The sequence below is a fragment of the Homo sapiens genome, chromosome X (genome assembly GCF_000001405.40).
Source record: "Homo sapiens chromosome X, GRCh38.p14 Primary Assembly".
Lineage (NCBI taxonomy): Eukaryota > Metazoa > Chordata > Mammalia > Primates > Hominidae > Homo > Homo sapiens.
The window spans coordinates 118,991,260-119,018,774 of NC_000023.11; the positions used below are offsets into that span (position 1 = coordinate 118,991,260).

Below are 27,515 nucleotides of genomic sequence, written 5' to 3' on the forward strand. Positions count from 1 at the left end.
CTTATTCCAACCTGTGTGTCACAATTGCATTACATTCTTAGCCCCTAGAGATAATTTAAATTTTGGATCCCAGCACTAATCTCAGTTACATGGGCAAGAGCTCAAAGTTCAAGGACTACTGTCACCACCACAGACTATTCTTGGGAAGCCAAGTGGTGGGCCTGACTAGCTTTTGTTTTGTGTTGTGCCATGAATATTAGTGGTGGGCCTGAGATACTTAGCCAAGTATCTCCCCACCAAACAGTGCCACATCATCTCTACTTTCTCAGATCTCTGGAGAGGCAAATTATTCACATGCTCCCCCACCCCAAAAGAAAGAGGCTATGATTATGGTGTGTGTAACCATACACAATTTTTTAAAATTGCTTACATGTCTTTGATTTCACAGCTGTGACTTACTGGCTTAGAGGAGAGGCTCCCTGCTCTGTCATTTACTGGCTGTTGACCTGGATGGAGCAAGTGACATTCTCTGCTACTGTTTTCTTGTCAGTAAAATAGAGAACAGTGTACCTACTCCATAGGGTTGTCATGATTAATTGAGAAAAATCTGTTTAACACCTGGAATAGTGCCTGGCATATAATAGATACTCAGTAAATGTTAACTATTTTTTTTTCCTTGTAGACCAGAGGTCCAGAAGGAAACTTTGGGTCTATGGACCTCTGAGGATGTTCTATATATGGATTCTAATAGATGTATTAATGTCTCGAAGTTGTATGTTAAAGTATGTGGGTTTTCCAGGACAAGGTCCACATCCTTTAGCAGATTCACAAATGTGTCTGTTTTCCAAAAGAGCATTAAAAGGAGGCTGAGATATTTGCACAAAAATTAAGACGGTTGGCAGGCTGCTGTTCGTTGTGCTGGCGGGTCCTGCGGGGAGGGCTGTGGAGCTCCAGATGGACTAAAGAACAAACCAGCAATCCCGAGAGGGCCCACAGTCCCTCTGAAGGAAGCGGGTTGCTTCTGCAGGACCCAGGAGACACCCCAAATACTCTGGGAGGCAAATAGCCTCGGTCGAGTTCTCAAGTCCCTCTCACTCTCCTCCTGGAAACAGACTTGGAGCTGTTGGGGAGGGCACGGTGGAAGTGAGACTGGCCCTTCAGTTTGCATGGGAGCTGGGTGAGGCCTGTGACTGCTGTATTTCCCCAACTTCCCTGGTAACCTGCATGACTCAGCAAAGGCAGCCATAATCCTCCTAGGTACACAACTCCAGTGACCTGGGAATCTCACCCCCATCCCCCACAGCAGCTGCAGCAAGACCTGCCCAAGGAGAGTCTGAGCTCAGACATACCTAGCCCTGCCCCCACCCAATGGTCCTTCCCTACCAACCCTGGTAGTGGAAGACAAAGGGCATATAATCTTGGGAGTTCTAAGGCCCTGCCCACCGCTGGTCCCTCTCCACACTACCACAGCTGTTGTTTTCTGGAAAGCACCACCTCCTGGCAGGAGACCAACCAGCACAAAAATAGAGCATTAAACCACCAAAGCTAAGAAGCCTCATGGAGTCCATTGCACCCACCACCACCTCCACCAGAACAGGCACTGGTATCTATCTACTGAGAGACCCATAGATGGCTCACATCACAGGACTCTGCAGACAACCCCCAGTACCAGCCTGGAGCCGGGTAGACTGTATGGGTGGCTAGACCCAGAAGAGAGACAACAATCACTGCAGTTCAGCTCACAGGAAGCCACACCCATAGGAAAAGGGGGAGAGTACTACATCAAGGGAACACCCCGTGGGGCAAAAGAATCTGAACAACAGCCTTTAGCCCTAGACCTTCCCTCTGACAGAGCCTACCCAAATGAGAAGGAACCAGAAAACCAACCGTGGTAATATGACAAAACAAGGTTATTCTAACACCCCCCCCCAAAAACCACACTAGTTCACCAGCAATGGATCCAAACCAAGAAGAAATCCTTGATTTACCTGAATAAGAATTGAAGAGGTTAGTTATTAAGCTAATCAGGGGGATACCAGAGAAAGGCAAAGCCCAATGCAAGGAAATCCAAAAACTGGCACAAGAAGTGAAGGGAGAAATATTCATGGAAATAGGTAGCTTAAAGAAAAAACAATAAAAAATTCAGGAAACTTTGGACACTCTTTTAAAAATGCAAAATGCCCTGGAAAGTCTCAGCAATAGAATTGAACAAGTAGAAGAAAGAAATTCAGAGCTTGAAGACAAGGTCTTCAAATTAACCCAATCCAACAAAGACAAAGAAAAAAAGAATAAGAAAATATGAACAAAGCCTCCAAGAAGTCTGGGATTATGTTAAACCACCAAACCTAATAATAATCGGTGTACCTGTGGAAGAAGAAAATTCTAAAAGTCTGGAAAATGTATTTGGGGGAATAATCGAGGAAAACTTCCCCGGCCTTGTGAGAGACCTAGATAGCCAAACACAAGAAGCACAAAGAACACCTGGGAAATTCATCACAAGCAGATCCTCACCTAGGCACATTGTCATCAGATTATCCAAAGTTAAGATGAAGGAAAGAGTCTTAAGAACTGAGACAGAGCACCAGCTAACCTATAAAGGAAAACCTATCAGATTAAAAGCATATTTCTCAGCAGAAACCCTAAAAGCTAGAAGGGACTGGGGACCTATCTTCAGCCTCCTCAAGCAAAACAATTACCAGCCAAGAATTTTGTATCCAGTGAAACTAAGCATCACTTATGAAGGAAAGATAGACATTTTCAGACAAACAAATGCTGAGAGAATTTGCCATTAGCAAGCTACCACTACAAAAACTGCTAAAAGGAGCTCTAAATCTTGAAACAAATCCTGGAAACACAACAAAACAGAACCTCTTTAAGGCATAAATCACATAGGACCTATAAAACAAAAATACAAGTTAAAAAGCAAAAACAAAAACCAAAGTACACACGCAACAAAGAGCACAATGAATGCTACGGTACGGTACACCACATTTCAATACTAACAATGTAAATGGCCTAAATGCCCCACTTAAAAGATACAGAACCGCAGAATGGATAAGAACTCACCAACCATCTGCTGCCTTCAGGACACTCACCTAACACATAAAGACTCACATAAACTTGAAGTAAAGGGGTGAAAAAAAGGCGTTTCATGCAAATGGACACCCAAAATGAGCAGGGGTAGCTATTTTTATATCAGACAAAACAAATTTTTTTTTTTTTGAGACAGAGTCTCCCTCTGTCACCCAGGCTGGAGCGCAATGGTGTGATCTCAGCTCACTGCAACATTCGCCACCGGGTTCAAGCGATTCTCCTGCCTCAGCCTCCTGAGTAGCTGAGATTACAGGCACGTGCCACCATGCCCGGCTAATTTTTGTATTTTTAGTAGAGACTGGGTTTCACCATGTTGGTCAGGCTGGTCTTGAACTCCTGACATCATGATCCACCCACCTCGGCCTCCCAAAGTGCTGGGATTACAGGCATGAGTCACTGCACCCGGCCCAAAACAAACTCTAAAGCAACAGCAGTTAAAAGAGACAAAGAGGGACAGTATATAATGGTAAAAGGCCTTGTCCAACAGGAAAATATCACAATCCTAAACATATATGCACCTAACACTGGAAGTCCCAAATTTATAAAACAATTACGAATAGACCTAAGAAATGAGATAGACAGCAACACAATAATAGTGAGGGACTTCAGTACTCCACTGACAGCACTAGACAGGTCATCAAGACAGAAAGTCAACAAAGAAACAATGGATTTAAATTATGCCTTGGAACAAATGGACTTAACAGATACATACAGAACATTTTATCCAACAACTGCAGAATACACATTCTATTCAACAGTGCATGAAACTTTCTCCAAGATAGACCATATGATAGACCATAAAATGAGCCTCACTAAATTTAAGAGAACTGAAATTATATCAAGTACTCTCTGAGACCACAGTGGAATAAAACTGGAAATCAACTGTAAAAGGAACCTTCAAAACCATGCAAATAACATGGAAATTGAACAACCTGCTCCTGAATGAGCGTTGTGTCAAAAACAAGATCAAGATGGAAATTAAAAAATTCTTCAAACTGAATGACAATAATGACACAACCTATCAAAACCTCTGGGATACAGCAAAGGCAGTGCTAAGAGGATAGTTCATATCCCTGAGCACCTACATCAAAAAGTCTGAAAGAGTACAAACAGACAATCTAAGGTCACACCTCAAGGAACTAGAGAAACAAGAACAAACCAAACTCAAACCCAGCAGAATAAAGGAAATAACCAAGATCAGAGCAGAACTAAATTAAATTGAAACAACAACAACAATACAAAAGATAAATGAAACAAAAAATGTTCTTTGAAAAGATAAGTAAAATTGATAGACCATTAGCAAGATTTATCAAGGGAAGAAGAGAGAAAATTCAAAAAACCTCACTAAGAAATAAAACAGGAGATACCACAACTGACACCACTGAAATACAAAAGATTAGTCAAGGCTACTATGAACACCTTTATGCACTTAAACTAGAAAACCTAGAAGAGATGGATATATTCCTAGAAAAATACAATCCTCCTAGCTTAAATCAGGAAGGATGAGATACCATGAACAGACCAATAACAAGCAGCAAGATTGAAATGATAACTTAAAAATTGCTAACAACAACAAAAAGAAGTCCAGGACCAGACAGATTAACAGCAGAATTCTACCAGACATTCAAAGAAGAATTGGTGCCAATCATTTTGACACTATTCCACAAGATAAAGAGGGAACCCTCCCTAATTCATTCTATGAAGCCAGCATCACCCTAATAACAAAACCAGGAAAGGACAACCAAAAAAAGAAAACCACATTAAGGTATGTCCCTTGTATGCTGATTTTGCTGAGAGTGTTAATCATAAAGCGATGCTGGATTTTGTTTAATGATTTTTCTGCATCTATTGAGATGATCATGTGATTTTTGTTTTGATTTCTTTTCAGTATTATGTTGGTTGTGGGTTTGTCATAATACTGAACGGGGAAAAGTTGAAAGCATTCCCTCTGAGAACTGGAACAAGACAAGGATGCCCACTCTTACCACTCCTTTTCAACACAGTACTGGATGTCCTAGCCAGAACAATCAGACAAGAGAAAGAAATAAAGGGCATCCAAATCAGTAAAGAGGAACTCAGATTGTCACTGTTTGCTGATGATATGATCGTTTACCTTGAAAACCCTAAGGACTCCTCTAGAAAGCTCCTAGAACTGACAAAAGAATTCAGTAAGGTTTCTGGATACAAGATTAATGTACACAAATCAGGAGCTCTTCTATACACCAACAGTGACCAAGCAGAGAGTCAAATCAAGATCCCCTTTTACAATAGCTGCAAAAAAATAAAATATTTAGGAATATATCTAACCAAGGAGTCAAAAGACCTCTACAAGAAAACTACAAAACACAGGCCAGGTGCGGTGGCTCATGCCTGTAATCCCAGCACTTTGGGAGGCCAAGGCAGGCAGATCACGAGGTCAGGAGATCCAGACCATCCTGGCTACCACAAAGAAATCCTGTCTCTACTAAAAATACAAAAAATTAGCCGGGCGTGGTGGCATGCACCTGTAGTCCCAGCTACTCGGGAGGCTGAGGCAGGAGAATGGTGTGAACCCAGGAGGCGGAGCTTGCAGTGAGCAGAGATCACACCACTGCGCTCCAGCCTGGGCGACAGAGCTAGACTCCATCTCAAAAAAAAAAAAAAAAAGCAAAGAAAAGAAAACTACAAAACACTGCTGAAAGAAATTGGAGACAACACAAACAAATGGAAGCACATCCCATGCTCATGGATGGGTAGAATCAATACTGTGAAAACGACCATACTGCCAAAAGCAATCTACAAATTCAGTGCAATCCCCATCATTCTTCATAGAATTAGAAAAAAAACAATTCTAAAATTCATATGGACCCAAAAAAGAGCCTGCATAGCCAAAGCAAGACTAAGCAAAAAGAACAAATCTGGAGGCATCAAACTATCTGATTTCAAACTATACTATAAGGCCATAGTCACCAAAACAGCATGGTACTCGTATAAAAATAGGCACATAGACCAATGGAACAAAATAGAGAACCCAGAAATAAACCCAAATACTTACAGCCAACTGATCTTCAACAAAGCAAACAAAAACACAAAGTGGGGAAAGGACACCCTTTTCAACAAATGGTGCTGGGATAATTGGCTAGCCACATGTAGGAGAATGAAACTGAATCCTCATCTCTTTGTACAAAAATCAACTCAAGATGGATTAAGGACTTAAGCCTAAGACCTGAAACTATAAAAACTCTAGAAGATAACATTGGAAAAACCCTTCTAGACATTGGCTTAGGCAAGGATTTCATGACCGAGAACCGAAAAGCAAATGCAATAAAAACAAAGATAAATAGCTGGGACAGCTGGGACCTAACTAAACTAAAGGGCTTTTGCATGGCAAAAGGAACAGTCAGCAGAGTAAACAGACAGCCCACAGAGTGGGAGAAAATCTTCACTATCTGTACATCTGACAAAGGACTAATATCCAGAATCTACAACAAACTTAAACAAATCAGTAAGAAAAAAACAATCCCATCAAAATATGGGCTAAGGACATGAATAGATAATTCTCAAAAGAAGATACACAAATGGCCAACAAACATAAAGAAATGCTCAGCATCACTAATGATCAGGAAAATGCAAATCAAAACCACATTGAGATACCACCTTACTCCTGTAAGAATGGCCATAATAAAAAACTCAAAAAACAGTAGATGCTGGCATGGATGTGGTGAACAGGGAACACTTCTACACTGCTGGTGGGAATGTAAACTAGTACAACCACTGTGGAAAACTGTGGAGATTGCTTAAAGAACTAAAAGTAGAACTGCCATTTGATCCAGCAATCCCACTGGGTATCTACCCAGAGGAAAAGAAGCCATTATTCAAGAAAGATACTTGCACATGCATGTTTATGGCAACACATTCACAATTGCAAAATCGTGGAACCAACCCAAATGCCCATCAACGAGTGGATAAAGAAACTCTGGTATATATATACAATTGAATACTATGCAGCCATAAAAAGGAATAAGTTAACAGCATTTGCAGTGACCTGGATGAGATTGGAGACTATTTTAAGTGATGTAACTCAGGAATGGAAAACTAAACATTGTATGTTCTCACTGATATGTGGGAGCTAAGCTATAAGGATGCAAAGGCATAAGAATGATACAATGGACTTGGGGACTTGGGGGGAAAAGTGGGAAGGGGGTGAAGAATAAAAGACTACAAATACGGTGCAGTGTATAATGCTCGGGTGATGGTGCACCAAAATCTCAGAAATCACCACTAAAGAACCTACTCATGTAACCAAATACCTCCTGTACCCCAATAACTTACGGAAAAATAAAATAAATTAAAAACAGAAATTAAGAAGATTGACCCAAGAGAAAATATAACAAAAGTCTTTTTATTTATTTCATTTTTAAAAATAAAGTTAAATTCATTTTGTTTTTGAGACAGAGTCTCACTTTGTCACCCGGGCTGGAGTGCAGTGGTGTGATTTCATCTCACTGCATCCTCTGCCTCCCAGTTCAGGCAATTCAGCCTCCTGCCTGGCAAATTTTTGTATTTTTAGTAGAGATGAGGCTTCACCATGTTGGTCAGGCTGGTCTTGAACTCCTAACCTCAGGTGATCCACCCGCCTTGGCCTTCCAAGGTGCTGGGATTACAGGCGTGAGCCACTATGCCTGGCCCTAAAAAAGTATTTTCATACACTACATGGTGGGATCCAGCGAGCAGAAACTGCTCAGATATTTCCTCGCCCTTTATGAGCACATATGCTTCTCATATCGATCATGTGCATTTGTATTCTGAATGATCGTTGTTGGATGACTGAAAACGAGTAACACAGCCGTTACCTGAAATGTGGACCTTCTTTCTCTTAAAAAAAATTTTAGGTGCCAGATTTTCTCATAAGCTTTGGCAGACCTGATAACAAACAGCTCAGCAGGTGGAATGTTGAAGCACTCAAAGCAAGCCTCCCATGCTGTCAGGAGTTGGTGTGGGTGGAGTGGGCTAGGGTGGGAGGGGCTAAATGAGCAGGTTCCTTTCACTACTTCCCTCACCCCCTCATGATAGAATGGCAGGTGGGTTCTGGCAAAGCCAAGGTAGAAGATAGAGAAATCCTGCTTCCAGGCAGAGCAATGGGCTCCTGCAGGTAACACCGTTGTGGCTCTAAGCCCATGATGTGCGCTGTGGAGTAGACTTGACTTAGCCTGCTCAGAGACCAGGTCTTTGTTGTGCGTATCCTTCTTAACACTCCCTCCAACATCCAGGGGACAAGAAATCAAACATACAGACTCATCCTGTTTGTGTTTTCTCTGAAAACTAAGAATCCTGAGGTGTAAGTTCTTTTGTTCCTCTGCTTTCTCCCTTTCATCTTGTTTGTCCTTGAACTCAACAGGGGGCTTTGGAGGAGGTCTCAAAATTTGGTCCAAGAAATAAACACCAAGAGGATAAGACCCCCTTCCAGTTGGCTCACTCGAAATTTAAAAGCCATCATTTCCCTTATCCTGCCCCTCCGTTCTAAGTGAGACTTCAAAACAAAACAAAACAAAACCCTCTGTGCCTGGAGTAGCCATTGCATACACTGCTAAGTTATAGCTGGCCTCTCACTGCTTGATGGTGATAAGAAACCTACTAAATCTAGAAAGAACTTTGGATCTTGAGGTTCTGAAAACTGCAGCCATTGGTCAGAAGCATGTAGTTCCCTTTCCAACAGGGTTTGTCTATAAGTTAGACATTGGATGTTGACAGAGGCTATTTCAAACACATGCTTCAGCTTGAATTATGATAGCCTTGACAAAGCTTTTGATTCCACCTCTCCAGTGTTTTTCTTCTCTTTCTTGTTGTTAGGAATATGATTGGTTCTCTTATTACCCTCATGTGTCCTTGGGGGAGAGTGTCTGAGAGTAAAGAAAGTGTCTGAAACAATCTGTGGAGGTCATGAAATTAGACATTTGTACTACTTGTGCAAGATTTTAGTATGAAATCCAGTTTCATGGTGCTGCATTGGTAGAAAAACAAGTTAGAGTATGAATTTGTATACACGGATTCTAGAGAGAAAATTAGGAGAAGCAGGTTGTAAGTTCCACAGGGAAAAGGGTGAAAAGAGTGAATGGAACAATAATCGGAGGTGTGTAAGTGAGGACCATTCCAATCTCCAGGTCTCCCTTGCTGAACTGGGGGAGCTCTGTTGAGAGAAGTTACCCCCTAACTTCAACCCTTAAGAACTCTGCTCCTCAATCCTTAGTGGTTGCAAATTCTCCTTTGATATTTGCCTCGTGTGGTTACCTTAGCCATTGGGGGCCACCTCTGGGGCTGCTATGGAGCAGAACTTTTGGGGTGACAAAGACATTTTGAGATATGCAGTAAGAATGTTTGATATTTGAACCAGTTATCTAATGGCCCAGTGACCTCTTTGTCAATTCTAACAAGAAGCTTCATATTTAACCTAGTTTTAGCTACTCAAGTAGCTTGGTGTTAAGGATCTTGTCAGTTCACTCTCATTCTCTCTCTCTCTCTCTCTCTCTCTCTCTCTCTCTCTCTCTCTCTCTCTCTCTCTCTCTCTCTCACTGTCACTCTCTCTTCCTCCCTCCCTCTCTCTCCCTATTTCTCCCTCTCCTTCTCCCCTCCCTCCTCTCCTCCTCCTTTCCTCTTTGCTCTCATTTGATAGCAAAAGAAAACAATACAAGGATGTAACTGGTGGGAAAAGATAGCTATTTCCAGACAAGCCAAACATTTTATCTGGGCTGACATCAAACTGAAAGCATTTATTATTGCTATTGTTTACTCCATCACTGTAACAATGTAAAATGTTTTTTGTGTGAAAATCTGGCCCTGCTCTGATTTATAAATACCTCTTGGATGTGTTTTCTGAAATCGTTACCTAAAGTGGTAAAAAAATTCTAGTCAAGTTCTCTCTGTCTCTCTCTTTTTCAGAAGGAGGGAGAGAGGAGAGAGGGAGGGAGGAAAATGTGCATATGAGTGTGTGCATCTACATGTAGATGGATGATGTCTATTTGGATGCAGAAATACATGCACACATTTGTTGCCGCATCATAGAGTGAAGAAGAAAGATGGGCTTGAGAGTCAGATCTGACCTGACATCCCAAAGCCCTGCTACTTACCAGCTAGCTGTGTGATCTTAGGCAAGTTATTTTAACCTGTCTGGGTTTAAATTTTCTCAATAGTATAATGAAGCTAATCATAATTACCACCTCTTAATATACAAAGTTAAGTATTGACACACCAAGAAATACAGCCAGAAAAATATATTCCATCTGTTCCAGTCACTTTGGCTGTGCAGAGAAGCAGAGTAGCCCTAAATATAGAAATGAATTGAGTATTGAAAAGTGTAATGTATTCTAAGCATCTGAACCCTGAACTATTTCAAAGGAATAATTATGCAGCATCTGTGGCCGCATTTGTGTTTGCTACCACTCAGTCAGGGGCATTTTAATCACAGCTTTTGCTAAGAGATTGCTGTGTCCTTTTGTGTGTGTTTTATTCATCTGCTCACTAAATGTCAGTATTTATTGCAATTAATTAGCCAGCTATATCTTTGTTATTTTAGATAGATTACATTAGGTTACATTCTTAAATGAACAATAGGCCCAATTGCAAAATTCTCAGGAAAAATGGTTTTGCATATTAGTTGTAGATACAGATTCATCAATCATCTTCATCATTAGTACCATCAAATAATATAAGGCATTCAGATTCACAGGACTAAGTTACCAAGGAAATGAGATATTTTGGTTTGGCTGCTCTGATAATTAGATCACAGCAGTGGTTCCAAATCACACTTTTGAAAAACATTTTAAATTGTGAAATACACACAGTGGAAAAGTGCATAAAATATAAATATGTTCTCTTAACAAAATATTGTAGAGAAGATACTTATGTAACCCCTCTCAGTTCAAGAAGTAAAATATTGCCAGGACCCAAGAAGCTACCCATATGCCTCTTCCCAATCAGGACTATCCTCCCTACCCCAACCACTATCTTGACTTTTATCTTGTTTCTCTTTTTAGCTTTACTACCCGAATATGTGTATCTAGGCGATGCAATCTAGTTTTGCCTATGTAAAAGCTTTATATAAACTGAATTATCCAGAATTTATTATTTCAATCTGGCTTCTTTTACTCAGTATTAGGATTTATCCATGTTATTGCATATAGGTAAAGTTTGTTCACTTTCATTATTGTATAATATCCCATTATATGAATCCACCACAGTCTGTTTATCAGTTCTCTTATGGATGGATGTTTGGATTGTATCTAGTTAGGGGATATCATGGACAACATTGCTATAAACATTGTTTACATCTGCTGGTGCTTATAAGTGTTTGTTCATTTTCTGTTCGCTTCCTTCTCTTTTTCTTACTGACTTCTAGGGTGTCTATGTATGCTCTAGATACAAGTTCTTTGCTAGTCGTATGTGTTGCAGATACCTTCTCCTACTCTGGCTTGCCTTTTTGCCCTCTTAATGACATTTTTTGATGAACTTAAAAGCGCTTCTTCTTGTTTTTTTATTTTTTTTTTATTTTGAGATGGAGTCTCACTCTGTTGCCCAGGCTGGAGTGCAGTGGTGCAATCTCGGCTCACTGCAACCTCCACCTCCTGGGTTCAAGCGATTCTCCTGTCTCAGCCTCCCCAGTAGCTGGGATTACAGGCATGCACCACCACAGTCTGCTAATTTTTATGGGATTTTGCCATGTTGGCCAGGCTGGTCTTGAGCTCCTCACCCCAGATGATCCACCCGCCTCAGCCTCAGAGTGCTGGGGTTACAGGTGTGAGCCACTGCACCCAGCCAAAAGCTCTTCATTTTAATACAGTCAAAATTATCAATCTTTTCATTTATAGACAGGGTCAGAATTCATTTTTTTTACCTTCAGGTCATAAAGATATTCTCCTATTTTATCTTTATTTTCTTTTATTTGACTAATTAATTTATTTGAGACATGGGGTGTCAAACTCCTGGTCTCAAGCAATCCTCTTGCCTCAGCACCCCCGCCTCAAGTAGCTGGGATTAGAGGTGCCAGCCACTGTGCCTGGCTATTTCATCTTATGAACGTTTTATTGTTCTGCTTTTCACATTTATTTTTACAGCCCACATGGAATTGATTTTTGCGAATGATATGAGAGATGATCCAATTTCATTTCCCCCTATAGATAGCCAACTCTCCTAATACCATTTATTGAGAATGCTATTTATGTATTGAAAATCTTTCCCCCATCTGCTTTGAAGTGGCACATTTGTCATAAATCAAGAATCCACGTCTGGATCTGTTTCTGGGCTTTCTGTTCTGTTCCCCGAGTCTATTTGTCCTTGTGCTAGTCATATACTGTTTTAATCACTGCAGCTTTATATGTTCTGTAATCTGGTAGAGTGAGTCCTCCCACATCGTTGCTCTTCAGATGTATCTTGGCTCTTGGCCCTTTGCTTTTCCTTATAAAGTTTAGAAATCAACTTGTCAAGTTCTACAAAAATAAACAAATGAAATAACCCATTGAGGTTTTTTATTGGGACTTAGTTGTTTAATTTCTTTCAATGAGGTGTTTGTAGCTTTTTCCAATAGAGGTCTCCTACAACTGTTGTTAGATTTCTTCCTGGACACTTGATTTTTAAAAGGAGTTGCAAATGTTATCTTTAAGATGATGACATTTCTAATGTCTATTGCTGGTATATAGAACTATAATTGTGTGTGCACGTGTGTGTGTATTTATCTAGTAACTTTGTTAATTCCATTCTTATTCTAATAATCATTTGTAGATTCTTTTAGATTTTTCTAAGTTCACCATCATATCATTTGTGAATAATGACAGATTTGTTTTTTTCCTCTCCAGTTCTCATTTTTTTTCTTGCCTTAGTGCACTGAGACCTCCATAGTAAATAGTTTTTCTTTTTTAAATAACTTTGCTTTTTGGCCAATTTGATAACTAAAATTTATTAGTTTTAATTAATTTGTTAAACAAATTAACTACTTTTTAAACAGAATCATAAAATTCAAAAAGTACCAAAAAGTTGAATACATGAAAAGTCTCTCTCCTCCTCCAGACCTCCATTGGCTTGTTAAAAATATCCCATTTCTGCTGGTCTCCTTGACCTGCTGAATCTGGAACTTTAGCCAGTGGAGCTTCACAATGTATGGGTTTTTTTGCTCCACACGTAACTGATATTTGAAGACCAATACAGTAAGTTTGCCTATGCAGAGATTAATGGGATTGTGTAACACAGTGATCCTCAATCTTGGCTGTACATTAAAACCACTGGGAGGCTTAAAAAAAATTTCTGATGCCTGTCCTGTACACTGGGCCTACTGATCTGAATCTCTGTAGGTGCTGTAGTGGGCATCTAGAGTTTTCATAGGCTCCCCAGGTGACTGGGGGAGGCAGGAAGGAGGGCTTACAAAGGGGCATGAGGAAACATTTGGGAGGGATGGGTATGTTTCCTATCTTGATTGTGGCGATGGTTTCATAAGTGTGTACATATGTCAGAACTTATCAAATTGTACACTTTACGTCTGTTCCATTTATTTTATGTCAATTTTGCATCAGTAAAGCTGTTTAAAGATAAAGCTGTTCAGGTGATTCTGATGCACAGCAATGGTTGAGAATTATTGTTGTAATAGAAAAGGCACATGACTGAAGTGGAAGTTGGATAGACTTTCATCTGTCAACAGTTGGCTGTGCGCACTTAGACAAGTAACTTCAACCCCTGTGGACCTCAGGTTCATTCTAGTTAGTGGGTTCAGTTTCTTCTCAAGTACTTTTCAGCTGGCATGTTGCTTCTTCTACTCAGTCTGGCAGTGCTGGCCAGGCTGCTGGTGCACCTCCTGGCCACACGAGGGAGCCGTGCAGCTGGCAGCCTCTGACTCTCCACTGAACACTCTTGTGAGGTGAAAATAGGCTGGTCAGGCAGGGGTCTTTCCCTTCTTCCTGTGCTGCTCCTCTTGGTGAGTGCAAGCCCCACTCCTCAACGGTCATCTTCAGCTACCCTCACTCACTGATCTCGCTGCAGGTGAGCCTTTTTTTAAGCAAAGCAAATCCATTAATTTCTGAAGGTACAGAACAAATTTATAAAAGGATTCCCACATTGCTTTGAAAATATCCTGTTCTCCCCAAGCAATTAAAATAGTACCAAATTGAAGTATATGTATGTATATATATGTATGTACACATGTAAATGTATGTATATATGTGTGTATATGCATCAATATAGATCCATATCTAGTCTATATCAGTAAGCACACTAACAATACTATTCTCCTGCCCCTATGAAAATTATCTATATAAAAGGCAGTTATGTTTGTTAGAGGTACAATTTTGATATCCTTCAGGCATTAACATTGCTTAGACGAAAAGAGGAATCAAGGTTAGCAAACGGTTTTTTTCCATGGTAATATGATGTAAAGTGCTTAAATGGGTAAATGTGTAAGAGAGAGAATGTGTGTGCGTGTGTGTGTGTTTGTGTGTGTGTGTTTACATATACTCAGGTGAACAGGTTGGCTAAATATTTTCGGAATGGAATTTATCCAGACACTCTGTGCATTAATCTCTATTTTTCTTGGACCAGACAGGGCAAAAAATCTGAATTCCCCAGAAGAGATAGACTAGAATTGATGTTACAAAATGATCTAGCTATGCCCTAAACTTTAATAAATGTATTTTAATCCAGCTCAAAAATGAAAGGCAAATGTTTATCTGAAGTATAACAATAGCGACTTTTTAAAAAGAACTCCTCCCCCACCCTAAAATATTCTAAATAATGCTTTAAAAACTTAGCTTTGAGTCACTCTTTTATTTTTGGTCTTATTGCAGTTTTCTTCCATTTTGATTCCTAAATTTCAGATTATTCTATGAGCCAGTCACAACACCTTGCGGGCATACTTTTTGCTTAAAATGCCTAGAAAGATGCCTAGATCACAACGCAAAGTGTCCATTGTGCAAAGACGGTCTTTCACAGGTAAATCAATATTTCTTTCTTGTTTGGTTTAAATCAGTATTTCTTTCTTGTTTTGTTTAGTTTATTTGGAATTGGGCACTAAGACAGTGTTCAACTGGACCCCCAGCCACGGCACTGTGGTAGGGCACATTACTCCCTCAAACCATCTATTTCTCCTGTCTTCTTTTTTTTTTTTTTTTTTTTTGACTGAGTCTCCACTCTCCCACCCAGGCTGGAGTGCAGTGGCGTGATCGCGGGTCACTGCAACCTCCGCCTCCTGGGTTCCAGCAGTTCTCCTGCCTCAGCCTCCCAAGTAGCTGGGATTACAGGCGCATGCCACCACGCTCGGCTAATTTTTGTTTTGTTTTGTTTTGTTTTGTTTTGTTTTGTTGAGACGGAGTCTCGCTCTGTCGCCCAGGCTGGAGGGCAGTGACGTGATCTCCACTCACTGCAAGCTCCGCCTCCCGGGTTCATGCCATTCTCCTGCCTCAGCCTCCCCGAGTAGCTGGGACTACAGGCGCCCGCCACCACGCCTGGCTAATTTTTTGTATTTTTAGTAGAGACGGGGTTTCACCGTGTTAACCAGGATGATCTGGATCTCCTGACCTCATGATCCACCCGCCTCGGCCTCCCAAAGTGCTGGGATTACAGGCGTGAGCCACCACGCCCGGCCTAATTTTTGTATTTTTAGTAGAAATGGGGTTTCACCATATTGGTCAGGCTGGTCTCGAACTCCTGACCTCAGGTGATCCACCCACCTCAGCCTCCCAAAGTGCTGGGATTACAGGCATGAGCCACCACGCCCAGCCTATTTCTCCTGTCTTATAGCCACTGTCCCCCTCTCCATAAAGTCCTTCAGGAAAATGAGGCAACATGCAGCTTTTTATGCAGTGTAAGTAGGGAAATTAATTTGTGTTGGAAACGAAAGTATTAAATAGATGATAAACTTGGATCCTGGTTCTAATGTCATCGTGGCACCTGATACACTGTAATCTTGAGTAAATCTTTTGTCCCCTCTAGGATTGGACTAGGTAAGCCCTGATGTTCCCTTATCATCAGTGTTTATTCTGTGGCTTGAAGATAACAGCTCCAAAGGCCCCAGAAGAACCTCACAGAACTTCAGTGTGATCCTTGTCCAACCCATCAGGAGCCACTGTACCTGGAAGCCCTAGAGCTTTTGCAGACCGCAGCCCTCTAGGACTTCCAGGTTCTCTAAAACTAATCACACAAACTCCCACCTTTGTTTTTCAAGTGAACCTGAAGGAATTTCCTACAGATAAAGAAGACCTGAGAATCTATCTTGTTTTCCCTCCCTCAGGGACTTATCTGCCACATTTTACAATCGGTGTTAATGTTCCTTGACCCCTGTCATTCCTGAGGAGAGGTTGGAGATGCAAGGCTATCTCTAGGTGACTACAGGTCAAGAGAAGTCACATGTTGAGCTTTACCATCACCCCAGTATTTAAATTAAGGGAATGGAGTGAAATCATCATCACTGGTAGCCCTGAGGGTATGCGTTGGGATTGGGAGGAGGGTCAATGTCATACCTTTCCCTGGATAAAGTTGTAGGATTTGCAGGCCTGATTGTAGGTGAGAAGTCCTTGATCCTTATACTGAAATAATACATCTGTGTTGTTGTAGCACTGGAAAATTCAGATTAAGTGGAAAGAAGAAAAATCTACCCATATGCTCAGTACCTAGAGAAAACCACTGTTAGTTAACATTTTAGTATGTGCCTTTTCTGGCTTTTTGTTTTAGTATCAGCAGAGGAGTCACCTACTTTTTAGACTGACTACCTCCTCAGTCAATGCTTATCCCCCACAACTGGGACTGGGAAATGCAGTTGATTTTCCCATAGCCAGGCAATGGCAGTGACAGTGGCAGATAAGGCATCCTGGAGACAGATGCTATAGAGTTCAGGACTTGGGGTCTAGAAGATATTCTCATCTATCTCTGTTTATTCACATAGGGTCACACTTGCACCATTTTACATAGAATTAAATATTCCAATCATTTTCACTGCAGAATAGAGACACAGCCCATACTGAGAAAGGAACAAAATTGTTTGAAGCCAACAGTTTTATACTCAGGCGCTCCCCCTGCTGGGACTGTAGGGGTAGTTTCCATAGCAAGCAATTCTCTGCAGATGTTTTAACATCAGTTGTTTGATTCACACCGTTAAATACCCACTACCTAAACATCCCTGGGTATGCATCGGACAGGGGTGTTTGGGAGGAGAGTAACAGTGACAATTGAGCCTGAGTCCAGTTCTTGAAATCATGACTTTTAATCTCAGTGATACCTAGATGGTATATTAGAAAGGCAAATAGACAAATCAATATTTAGCTGTTTGTGTTTTTTTAAACTAAAATTAAAAGAGAAAAAATAGGTATATTTGGCAATATCCAGAAGCCAAGCATTGGGTTAGGCTGGGAGTGGGACAGGGCAGGAAAGGTTCAGTGATTGAAAATTGCTTTTTAGTTCCCTGAAACTTTTGGCCACTAACTTTGAGCATATCCCAGATGGAGACAATTTCTGTGAGCTTGTAAATACAATCATCAGAAAATGGAAAGGGAAGAATTCCCCCCACCCTACTTTTTGGACAAGAACATGATCTTGATTTCAGTGTTTCAGAAAAACTGTGAGAGTTTTAAAACTTCAATGCAGGTTTTACCCCCTTGTTAAAAATTTTTTTCTAATTATAAAGATAATCAATTGCATGTGTGTTTTTTTAAATGAAACTAACATCCAGAAAATACATATATTATGATGGTAACAGCTGCTAATTTGTGGGTCCAGATTACTCCAATATGTGGGTCATTTGACTTGTTCACTGATTACATCAGAAGTGTTTTGCTGATTGCTACGTATTACCTAATTGCATATTGTCTAATTGCCTCCCCCCATGTAGTGCTTGGCATCAAGAAAATACAGCAAAAATGTAATAATGGAGGAGCTCATAGCTAAATTCCTTCCAGAAGAACTGAAGGAACGAAGGAAGCTTTATGAAGAGGAAATGGAAGAACTTTCTAAGTATGTATATGCATATTTCTGTTTTGTTTCACTCATACCAGCTCAATGAGAGCTGAATGTGCACATTACTTCCCAGCTTCCGACTTAGTGATGTCATGCTAGCTGCTTGAAATTGGCTATGGTGAGAGTATTTACACCATGGAAATTGGCAAGTGCTACAAACCAGGGTTTCCGCTGCACCCAGAGAGCCAGTTGTTAAACATACCAGCATACCACTGAAGAAGCATAAGCGAAACCAGTGATGAGGGTACGCCCTGCCCCCAGTAACAGGGTATTGTTGGCAAGAGTAAATTGGAGTAGCATAAACAGGGGAACTTAACGAAATGTCCAAAAGATTGTTTTCAGATACATAAGGAGTTGCTATGAGGTTAAGAACTTTGGTGTCAACCAGAACCGGGCTTAAGACCCAGTTCTACCTCAAAGTGAGTCTACTTCACGACCCTAGGCAGGTCATTTAACCTTTCTGGGCCTTAGTTTCCTTATCTGTAGCTTGAGAATAATTTAATAACTTGAGTTCTTACCTCATGGACTTCTTTTTTTGAGATTGAGTCTCACTCTGTCACCCAAGCTGGAGTGCAGTGGTACGATCTTGGCTTACTGCAACCTCCGCCTTCCGGGTTCAAGCGATTCTCCTGCCTCAGCCACCCGAGTAGCTGAGATTACAGGCATGCACCACCATGCCCAGCGAATTTTTGTATTTTTTAGTAGAGACAGGGCTTCACCATGTTTGCCAGGCTGGTCTTGAACTCCTGAACTCAAGTGATCCTCCCACCTGGGCCTCCCAAGGTGCTGGGATTACAGGCGTGAGCCACCATGCCTGGCCACCTCATGGACTTCTTATGAAAATCAAATGAGTTTGTGCATAGTAAGCACTTAATTAATGGTAATAATACTAATACTTGTCAAGCGCTTTCTCTGCCGTGCACAGGTAATGTGAGAGGTGAAGGGGAGGGGCAGAGGCGTCATTGAGGCTCTCAGCACTCTGCCTGGCTGTAAGAACAGCTCCCTTAGCAGAAAAAGCAGGAGGCAATCACTAATTTCTGCCTCTCTTGCTTCTGCCCTCTCCTCCCTCCATCCGCAGTAGAATCCTAACAGCATTCCAGAGGCAAGGTTCCTGACAGCAAAAATGGTTCTGGTTTCATGCCCACTGTGTAGAGAACATTCGTAAACTCTGCCAGTGGCTTGTTTGAATGCACTCCTCACTTAGACTAATGCTTTTCTCAGAAACTAGAAATCGTTTTTTTTTTCTCATTAATTTACATTGGAACTACTCGGGGGATCTTTATCTTTATTTCTGATCTGTAAATTAGCATTGAGCCTCTCTGAGCCCTCATCTCAAATCTCATTTAAGGTCTTATTAACAAATACTGAGATGTATTAGGGCTTTCTATGTAAATGAATCCTGAACTTGATCCTTTTGAGATTTGGGCAGTTGGTCTTATATTTCTTGATAGGTTTAGGTTCAGATGTTCCTGTGTTGGATTTACTAGACAAATAAGACAAGGATCCCAGAAGAGCTGGCTCTGTTTTGGTTCCCCAACGGGTTGTGTGTGTGAATCTCTGGGGGTACTTATTGAAAGGCAGGGCCGGGCATGGTGGCTCATGCGTGTAATCCTAGTATTTTGGGAGGCAGAGGCCGGTGGATTGCTTGAGGTCAGGAGTTCAAGACCAGCCTGCCCAGCATGGTGAAACCCCATCTCTAATAAAATTACAAAAATTAGCCAGGCATGGTGGCATGCACCTGTAATCCCAGCTACTCAGGAGGCTGAGGCAAGAGAATTGCTTGAACCCGGGAGGCGGAGGTTGCAGTGAGCCAAGATTGCACCACTGCACTCCAGCCTGGGTGACAGAGTGAGACTCCGCTTAAAAAAAAAAAAAAAAAGAAAAAGAAAGACCCTTGGGTCCCAATTCCAGAGCTAATGCATCAGTATCTCTGGTAATGTGGTGTCCAAGTCATCTTGATTGAAGAGCCCCTGTTGATTCTGATGCAAAGAAGCATTTGAGCATCACTGGGCTGGATTATTCTTGCCTATCTCTTGGTCCTTCCTCCTTTCAGCTGTGCCTCCTTTGCAGACTCTTTGGGGTCCTTGCAAATTTGAGATGCCCTAGGGACCTTACAGAGAATTTCCCACCACCCTTCTGGAGAGCTGAGTCCACTTCTATCATCAGCAACCTTCCCCATGCAGCCTGAAAAACACCTGAAAAGATTGTTTTGAGTGGAGAGCATGAAAGTAAGAAAAAATATGAATTATAGCTATCATCCACAATATTAAGATACTAGAGAACTTCTTCAGCCAAATTAAAATGTGTAGAATGCCAATTTTAATTTCTTAGACCTTAGGCTAACCTCTGCATCAGATCATGGGACTCAGCCCACACTATCAATTGCATTTCAATATTTTTCTATTAGCCATCAAAACTTGATGTATCTTTGGCAAGTGACACTGTCAAAAAACAAACTTGGTGTCTCTGCCTTCCCCCAGGGGTATCACATGCTAACATTTGACCAATATTTTTGTGTTCTGTCCGATTGCTTTGAGATCCCTGTCATTTTCTCTTTCTGACAGCCTTAATAAGAATGTGCCTATTTTCGTGTGTACTATGGCCTATCCCACCGTTCCTTGTCCCCTGCACATCTTTGAGCCTTGTTACCGCCTGATGATTCGTAGATGCATTGAGACAGGCACGAGACAGTTTGGCATGTGCCTTGGAGATCCTGTCAAAGGGTAAGTGAGGAGCCATGCGAGCAAAGGGAGGTTGTGTAATGAGGGATTTCTGTTTTACTTTGGGGTACTCCCAGGAGACAGGGAGGCCTAGCTCATGAGGTTTAGCCAACTGAAGAATATGAGCATTTGTAAGGATCATTGTCCCTTTGGTGGTTAGTTTACCATGTGAGAGGCTGTCTATTTAAAGAACCCTAGAATTAATATTTGGTTAAACAGGTGGTATATGTTATAAAACTTGTAAGAATGTGGGCCTTGGAGTCAAACTGCCTGCTTTCATTATCTAGTTGCAGCCTTGGAGCAAGTTTGAGTTTGAGCAAGCTATTTAACCTTTCTGTATCCCAGTTTCCTTATTTGTAAAGTGGGTACAATAATAGTACCTACCTCATTGGGTTTGCTTGGAAGATTGGTGAGTTAATAATGTACATAAAATGCTGAGCACAGTTCCTGGCTTCCTTAGTCCATTTTGTGCTACTATAACAGAATGCCACAGACTAATAATTTATGAACAATCAAAATTTATTTCTCATGGTTCTGGAGGCTGGGAAGTCCTAGGTCAAGGTGCTGGCATCTGGCAAGGGCCTTCTTCCTTTATCATAACATAGTGGAAGGGCATAGCAGAAGGGCAACAGAGAGAGAGAGAAAGAAGGGGGTCAAACTTGCCCTTTTATATTAATAACAACCCTACTCTACTTTCACCATATCAGCATTAATGCATTCATGAGGGTGGAGGCCTAATCACCTCTTAAATGTCCCACCTCTTAATAATGTTACAATAGCAATTAAATTTCAAAATGGGTTGTAGAGGAGGCAAACATTCAAACCATAGCACTGGCACAGCACATAGTATGTGCTCAATAAATGGTAGCAGTTACACGAATACATTACGAATTTTTTTTCTTCACACAGGCACTGCCTGTTGTGTAATTGAAGCTGTAACCCAGGGACAGGAAAATAGGCAGAAGTCCCTTGAGCCACAGCATGGGGCTACAGAAATGGCTGGGTGCCAGCCCAGGGAAACAGAACTCATCAAGGATCTAGTCTCTCGACTCCATTCTCAATAAACAGGTTTGCAGAATATGGCTGCATCCTAGAGATCAGAAATGTTCAATTCTTTGCTGATGGCCGCTCAGTGGTTGACAGCATAGGCAAGAGGCGCTTCAGGGTGCTCCATCAGAGCCAGCGGGATGGCTACAACACAGCCGACATTGAATACATTGAAGACCAAAAGGTAAGGGTGGCCAGTGCCAAGAATCCCAAAGCCAGGCTATCCTTGTAACTTGATACACAAAGATAGTTGTGAAAGGATTTCTCAGAACCCTTGAGGGCCTTGGGATTTCACACCAAATTGCTGCAGCAACATTGAATGCTGCTGGATTGCTGTCCAGTTGCACTATGGCAGTGAGGGCGCCTACTGTCCTGGCTCTGCTTAGCTGCTGAGTTGCATTCATGCATAGGAAATGTTATCCTAGATCAACCCTGGGGCTCATTCAGCTTGGGAGTTAAGTCTCTGCCAAAGATTGCAAGGAATGGATCTGGGGTGGGTCTATACATATATATTTTATCTATCGATTTATGTATATTTTAAACTTTTTTCTTTTGAGACAATTATAGATCCACACATGCATTTGTATTTTAAAGTACGTAACCTGGCTAAGAGCCCTTCCCAATAATCCATCATCCCCTAAGGCAGAAAGATGACACATCTAGTTAATCCTTGGTTTTCTGAGGTAATGGGTGGAAGAAGAGGTAAATAATCCTATATTCATTTATATTTACATTTGTTACATAGTAGATTAATAAATATCTGATGACTGAGTAAATGTGTTTGACCAAGATAGTTACATGCTGAGACTGACATACTCCTGTGTCTTTTCCAGCAAGTAATGAGAAAACAGATGTAAAAATGAAAAGGGCAAAGGCATGGACCAGCATAACCTGGTTTAACCACATGCCTCCACTCAGGCCGGTTTGAATCTCTGGTTTTCTGCATGTTTTGCTGTTTCAGCTAATCTACCCAGCTGAACCTTTCTCCTTCCTCCATGGTCAGCAGTATCTACACACTGTCCAGCACTTGACTAAGGGGCATTTCACATCAAGCAAAGGAGAAAGCTGAATGGGTGAGCCTTCCCATAGGAAGGCAGGATGGATGCTCAAAGCGAATCAGGTGTCAAAAGTGACTCTGGGAATGATGGAGAGGGTACAGAATGTTTCACTTCCACTTTGATACTTTCAGGTTCAGGGAGAGGATTGTGCTGAGCTCATGGGATTACATAACTGTGTCTATCAGCAAGCATCATTGTGGTTTCATTCGCTCAAATTATCCCTAAAGAATCGGATACTCAATCACTTTGGTCCCATGCCGGAGAAAGACGCCGATCCTCAGGTATAGAAAAATGTCTATTTTTAAACGGGTTGTCCCACTAGAAGAGAGTGCCTAGTGTTTGTGATTAGATGGGTATGTGGCTGCCATTCAGCACATCGAATGCAGAGAGGAAGATGGATTTAATTTGGTGTTGTTTGGCTGCACAGTGAGCGTCATGAGTAAGACCAAAAAGATCCCAAGTTAGAATCGGGGTAACTAAAGTAAAGCAGTAGGAACTTGGATCCAAGGCAGGTTTTGAGAACTAAGTAAGATAAGAGAATGGGAACATAGATATCACCAACAGAAGAACCTTCCATGGGAGTCCAGATTCACACCATGGTAGTGTTAGGGTGACAAGTTACATGCAAAGGCCAGGACTTAAGAGAAGGGTATCCTGGGAGCTGAGACCAAAAGCTGCTGCTTTCAGGTAACTTCATAACCCTCTCCCTCATTGCTTTGGGAACTAGGGGATAGGGCCAGCTACCCTTATAAGATTACAACTGCAAGACCACAAAAACTTTTCGTGCCTCGGTCTATCTATGCTTCGCCCTGCAAGTCTAGACCCTTGCTATTGTCCTCACCAGGGCTGAACAGCTCTGTTCATCATTAAATACTGTTAGTTGAGTTATACTAGACAGTAGTTTGTTAGGTTCTACTGATCAGTGTTCTTCCTGGGGGATAGGCCTATTTGAAAGATCAAGCTGCAGATCAGAAGCTCCCTAGGAGAGTGGAGATGGTTAAGTTTCACTAAGCTTTGCTTGCCTGGAATAAATCAGGGAATACTGTCTTTCTAGGATAAGGCTGGAGATATCCTAACCACATATTTCCTCACGACCATCTCTTCCTATGCTCCAAGCTGGCTCTCCTACATTGATTCTTTACTTATGCTCATCCCCAACTCTGTCACAAAAGAAAAAATCTCAATATGCATATTCTGACCAAAAGTCTGGTCCTGCTTACCTCACTAGCAGTATGACCTTGGGAAGATTCCTTTCCCTTTCTCAACTTTTGTCCCATCTCTGACATGAGGAGGGTTCTAAAGCCCCCTCTTCCTCTTGCATTCTGAGGTTCTAAGACACCAGTCTGTTCCCTAAATGAAATGTCTTGCTTTCCTCAGACCACAAAGGTGGCTTCTTTCCCCCCCCATGCAAAGGCATCATGAGTTTTCAAGGGAGAAAGGCCAGTTAGTGCTTCCTGTGACCCAGCTCCTGGCTCTGGGCCACGATGAGTCAGGACTGCAGCATATACCTCTGAGCAAACTCACGATCAAGCTTAATGTTCCCCTTCACCTTCCGGGAAGCGTTCTCCCTTAGGCAAAAGATACAGATCAGCAATGGTAACGGGAAAACACAGATGCTACAGTGTGATTCATAAAGGCTAATGACAGAGAAAGTTGAAATCTTGGGTTTCACTTCCTTTTTTCTTAGTTCTGTTATTATGTTGCTTTGGCAGCAGCAGCACCAGCAAAAAAGAAAAACCCATACCCATCCCAGTTTGCTCCAGTCAATGCTGCATCCCCAGTGGTCCCACAAATAAGCATGTTCTGTCAGGAGGATGTTTCTTAGAAACTGCCACAAGTGTTAATACCAGCTTAAATATCTTTGTTGGTGATCCTTGGAAAGAAAGTTCAGAACATCAGTCTAATATTCAGAACTGATCATAGGAGGGAGAGCATATTGCCAGCTTCAGGGAGGGACAAAAAAGAATGCAAATGAAGTTAGAGGCACAAAGAAGCAAAGAAGGCAGTGAGATTTGGTGACGATCAGAGGAACCAATTTGGAGCCAAATAATTTCAGGTGTAGGCACTTTGACCAGAATGGTTCTCTATAGTCCTAAAACCAAACTTGTGAAAGTTGTGGGCAGAAAGCTCGTTTTAGGCTTAGAAGGAAATAAGTACCCAATGTCTAAAATATGTGCCAGGGAAGCTGCTTTGGGGAAGGATTTATGTGGAATGGGAAAGCTCTTTATTAAAAGGAAATCTAGGGGCAGAATATATTTCTTTCTTTCTTTCTTTCTTTTTTTTTTTTTTTTGAGACGGAGTCTTGCTCTGTCGCCCAGGCTGGAGTGCAGTGGCATATCTCAGCTCACTGCAAGCTCCGCCTCCCAGGTTCACGCCACTCTCCTGCCTCAGCCTCCGGAGTAGCTGGGACTACAGAAGCCCGCCACCGCGCCCGGCTAATTTTTTGTATTTTTAGTAGAGATGGGGTTTCGTCGTGTTAGCCAGGATGGTCTCGATCTCCTGACCTCGTGATCCACCCGCTGGCCTCCCAAAGTGCTGGGATTACAGGCGTGAGCCACTGTGCCCGGCCCTGGGGCAGAATATATTTCTAATGTGAATGTTTTCTAATTGGAATTTTTGCAAAGTGAGATTGTGATTCTTTGGGACTGTAAATCATAGCCTTTGGTTTCAGGGGAGAAGAGAGCTATGGCCCTGTATAGTGACATGGTATACATGGACTATTGCCTTCAGCCACATCAAGGAAATGAGGGGACTTAAAAGACATGCAAAGGTCAAGGGGTCATGGGAATCGAAGGCCTGAATGTTAAATGCATCAGTCCAAAGGACCTCAACAGAATATTAGAAGTGGAAGAGACTACATAGTAGATACCAGCTTGTAAAATCACATTGGCTAGGAGGCATGGTGTATCTGTTAGGATACTGGTTGGTTTGCTTTAACAAGAAACAAAAATGACTGGAGCTTAAACAAGATGGAGGGGCTAAGTCTTGGACAGTTAGGGCAGCTCTATTCCACAAGAGCATTCAGGCACCCAGGCTCCTTCATCACAAAACTCTACCATCCTTAAAATGTCTCCCTCATCCTCTTGATTGAGAAAGGCTGATCCTCACCACGTCCATGTTCTAGCTAGGGGAAAGGGAGAGAAAGAGGAAGGCAGAGGGCATATGCTTCTTTCCCAGAGCATGACCAAGAGGTTACACATATCACTTCCCTTTACATCTCATTAGCCAGAACTTTGTCTCATGGCCTCACCTAGCTGCAAGGGAAGCTGAGAAATGCAGTCTTTTTTCTGGGTGGCTATATGCCCTGCTAAAATAAGGGGGAAAATAGATATAGGGTCAATTAGCAATCTGCCACATGGAGTTGTTCTACCTGGGGTCTTTACCTTGAGCATTTGGAACTCTGCAGACTGATGTTCTTGGATGGGAATAGGATGACTCCATTGTGTTTCTCTGTTGCAGATGAACCCGAATGGCCCAGCCTGGTGCTGGTGGATGTTAGCAGTTCTTCCCTTGGAAAGCCGAGCTCAGCTCCCCTTCCTAGCAATGAGGTCCTTAAAGGACAGACTGAATGGTATTCGACGAGTCCTGGCCTTCATATCCCGAAACCAAAACTAGTGAGTGGATTGCCGAAGAGGAGCTCCCACCTTCCCCACTGCCGTCGGGGGGAGTCTTCTTGTAAATATATCTAATTGCAATAATATCTTAACAGAAGGGGGTGTCAAACAGAGGCATCAGCCTGCTGTTGATCACAGAGAGAAATTGAGTAGAAAGACCAAAAGAATGTGACCTATTTGAAACTTTCTGTCTTAAGATGCTTCTTGACATGCTGCATAACTACATAAACAGCAGAGGTGTTTAAGAGCCCAGAAAAACATAATTTGATTTTAACATTAAAATTTCCAAAAGTTTAAAGTGGTTTTGCTTTAATATTCTTTCTTTCATAGATCAATGACTGTGTGGTTGAAATGTGAAAACAAAGATACTAATAATGTTGCTGTATAATTTCACTGACTTGAGGTCTCATTCCAAATGGTTCAGGTTTTATAGAGCATTGTGTAAAATAATGTTCATACTTCTTTCTGTTTTAATAATTTATTTTTTGCACTACTGTATCCTTTTTTCTACATGTATGTTTGTAACTATTTAAGCGTACATTGCTGAAAAGTCCATTGCTTTATTTATTGATGTGGTTTACCATGTACCTAGGGGGAAATAACAATACTAGAAGTGTGCAGTTTTTGCTTTTATCTTTTTTTTACTACAATGACACTAGTTCTTAGACCATTTCCGTATCTATCCAAATGGATGCTTAAAAGAAGTTCAGAATGATGCTAAGATCATCTGTCTTCAGAGTCCACTTTTTTTTTTCAGTTTGAACTAAACAATATAAAATACTTAAGGGATTTGGCCTAGATTATGGTATATGCCAAGGTAAAGTAAAATAATTCATTTTCTGTGTGTAATACAGAACAAAGCTGAAAGAATTATTTTTATTATAGGCATTTACTTCAGCAATCTAATTGTACGTGTATCTAATTTTTCCCCAGTGCAGTTAGGAATCGGATTTTGGGCAGGATCATAATTAACTCTTCAGAGGAAATGGTGTTCAGTTTAGCACATCACAGTCATGCCCAACTAGCCTCCATAACCCACCTCTCCCCGGGGTTCTGAGGATCAAGACCTGGACAGAAACACTTGA

General features: G+C 41.6%; 1 protein-coding gene across 10 annotated transcripts in view, besides 2 other annotated features; it reads left to right on the forward strand.

Moving 5' to 3' along the window:
* Positions 1-27,096, forward strand: part of LONRF3 (LON peptidase N-terminal domain and ring finger 3) — a 43,742-nt gene extending 16,646 nt beyond the window's left edge. For 4 of the 10 annotated variants that reach the window (XM_005262476.3, NM_024778.5, NM_001031855.3 and 1 more), the window contains 6 exons: positions 14,862-14,976; positions 17,867-17,988; positions 20,556-20,714; positions 21,780-21,942; positions 22,948-23,097; positions 26,276-27,096. In XM_005262476.3, coding sequence (XP_005262533.1) covers positions 14,862-14,976; positions 17,867-17,988; positions 20,556-20,714; positions 21,780-21,942; positions 22,948-23,097; positions 26,276-26,431 — 865 coding nt within the window. In that variant the 3' untranslated portion in view covers positions 26,432-27,096. Of the gene's footprint in view, positions 1-14,861; positions 14,977-17,866; positions 17,989-20,555; positions 20,715-21,620; positions 21,943-22,947; positions 23,098-26,275 lie in introns of those variants that run through there. The other 6 variants (XM_047442518.1, XM_047442519.1, NR_110311.1 and 3 more) reach the window with 5 other exon arrangements.
* Positions 664-1,863: an enhancer, noted in NCBI's record as "CDK7 strongly-dependent group 2 enhancer chrX:118125886-118127085 (GRCh37/hg19 assembly coordinates)". NCBI's record gives its function as "activates an origin of replication core promoter dependent on BRD2, BRD4, P300/CBP, MED14 and CDK7 cofactors, with strong dependence on CDK7, by STARR-seq in HCT116 cells {active_cell/tissue: HCT116}" and the evidence as "EXISTENCE:reporter gene assay evidence [ECO:0000049][PMID:35650434]".
* Positions 24,242-24,301: a silencer, noted in NCBI's record as "silent region_20952". NCBI's record gives its function as "represses an Ori minimal core promoter by ATAC-STARR-seq in GM12878 lymphoblastoid cells {active_cell/tissue: GM12878}" and the evidence as "EXISTENCE:reporter gene assay evidence [ECO:0000049][PMID:35858748]".